The 2,049-nt window shown below is 35.7% G+C and overlaps 1 annotated feature.

The window, feature by feature from the left end:
* Positions 568-1,767: an enhancer, noted in NCBI's record as "MED14-independent group 3 enhancer chr5:178819998-178821197 (GRCh37/hg19 assembly coordinates)". NCBI's record gives its function as "activates an origin of replication core promoter dependent on BRD2, BRD4, P300/CBP and CDK7 cofactors, and independent of MED14, by STARR-seq in HCT116 cells {active_cell/tissue: HCT116}" and the evidence as "EXISTENCE:reporter gene assay evidence [ECO:0000049][PMID:35650434]".

The following is a 2,049-nucleotide window of genomic DNA, read 5'->3' on the forward strand; positions in this document are numbered from 1 at the left end:
GACAACAAAATTAAGTTACAAATCAATAACAATAATGTATCTAGAAAATTCCTCCAAAGTTTTGGAAAATAAACAATATACTTCTAAATAATTTATATGGCAAGAAATCAGCAGAGAAATTAGAAAAAATTTTAACTGAATGATAATGAAAACCAAAAAAATCAAATTTTATGGGATACAGTTAAATCAGTTTCTAGAAAGAAACATATAACTCTAAATGTTCATAATAGGGAAAAAGTAAAAATTAACAATTAATGGTTTAAGTGTACATGTTAGCAATCTAAAAAGAAAGAACATATTAAACCCACAGTAAATAGAAGGAAAGAAATAATAAGGAGCCCAAATCAATGAAATATAAAACAAACCAATAAGAGATAAAAATAACAAAGCCAAAAGATACCTCTTTGAAAAATTAATCAAATTGAAAAATCCCAGTAAGACTGATCAAGAAAAAGAACACAAATTACAAAATAACTTTCTGTATGACAAAAACTCTTTGTATTTATGTTGTACAACATGATGTTTTGATATATGTATACTCAAAATATCTGAAATGGAAGATAAGCTATCACTACAGATCCTACAGATACCAAAAGAAAAACTACTAAATATTATAAACAACTTTATGGCAATAAACTCAACAATTTAGATGAAATGGACGAATTCCCTGAAAAACACAACTTACCAAAAGTGACTCAAGAAAAAATAGAAAAAACGAATAGCCCTACTTTTCAGTATCCTATTGCTTCATAACCAGTCCCAAAGCTTAGTAACTTAACAATTATTTTGTTGTTGCTAAGTTAACTGACCTCAGCTGGGTGGTTCTTTTTTAAATGGTGTTGTCTGGGATGACTCACTCTGTTGCTTTCAACTGGCAGCTGGGCCAAACTGGAAAGTCCAAGAAGGCATTAGTCACATGTCTGGTACCTCAGTGCTCCTCCACATGATCTCCCCATGGGAGCTTCCTCATAGCATGGTGGTCTCAGAGTCATCAGACTTTCTACATCGTGGCTGGCTTCGAGAGAGAAAGCTAAAATTCTGAAATTGATATGCAAATGCACAGGACCTAAAATAGCAAAACAAACTTGAAAAAGAATAACAAAGTTGGAAGACTCCCAGTATCTAATTTTCAAGACTCACTATAGTAATCCAAATTAGAATCATTGTAGCAAAAAGATAGACACATAGATCAACAGGAAAAAATAGAGTCCAGAAATAGACCCAAACATAGACCCTTAATTGATTTTCAACAAAAGTGCTAAGGCAATTTAACGGGGAAAATGCATTCTTTCTCTATTGCTGCATAACACATTAGCACAAATTTATCAGAATAAAACAACACTGATTTATTATTTCACATATAATTATATATTTCACATTTTTCTATATGTCAGAAGTCTTTGCATTGTGTAAGTGAGTTCTCGGCTTAGGGTCTCAAAAGGCTAAAACCAAGCTGTCAGCCTGCATGTGCTCTCATATGGAACTTGGATTCCTCTTCCAAGCAAGCTCCTTTTGGTCATAGGATTGAAGCCCTCAGTTCCTGGAGACCGCTCCCTGTTCCCTGCCATGTGACCTTCTCCACGACAAGCTCTCACGCTTTGAATTTCTTTGACTTCTTTTAAGGTCAGGCCAAGAAAGGATAATCTTACTTCTGATTAACCCAAAGTCAACTGATAAAAGACTTTAATTCCCATTCCAGCTTCTAGAGCCGGCCTGATTTCCTTGACTCATGGCCCCTTCCTCCATTTTCAAAATCAGCAACAGTAGGCCAAATTCCTAGCACATTACATCATCTGACCTTCTCTTTTGTCTCTCTCTTCCACGTTTAAGGATCCTTGTGATTACACTGAACCCACCCAGATAGTCTAGGATAATATCCCTATCTTAAGGTCAGCTTGAGGTAGGAGTCAGGACCTGACTCCAGACCAGATAGAAGACTGGCTGAAACAGGGAAGAGGCCCCAAAAGCACCTCTCCATAACATTCCCACCAGCACCATGACAGTTTACCAGTACCATGGCAACTCCCGGAAGTTACCACATCTTTTTTT

This window comes from Homo sapiens, chromosome 5 (genome assembly GCF_000001405.40).
Source record: "Homo sapiens chromosome 5, GRCh38.p14 Primary Assembly".
In the NCBI taxonomy this organism is placed as follows: domain Eukaryota; kingdom Metazoa; phylum Chordata; class Mammalia; order Primates; family Hominidae; genus Homo; species Homo sapiens.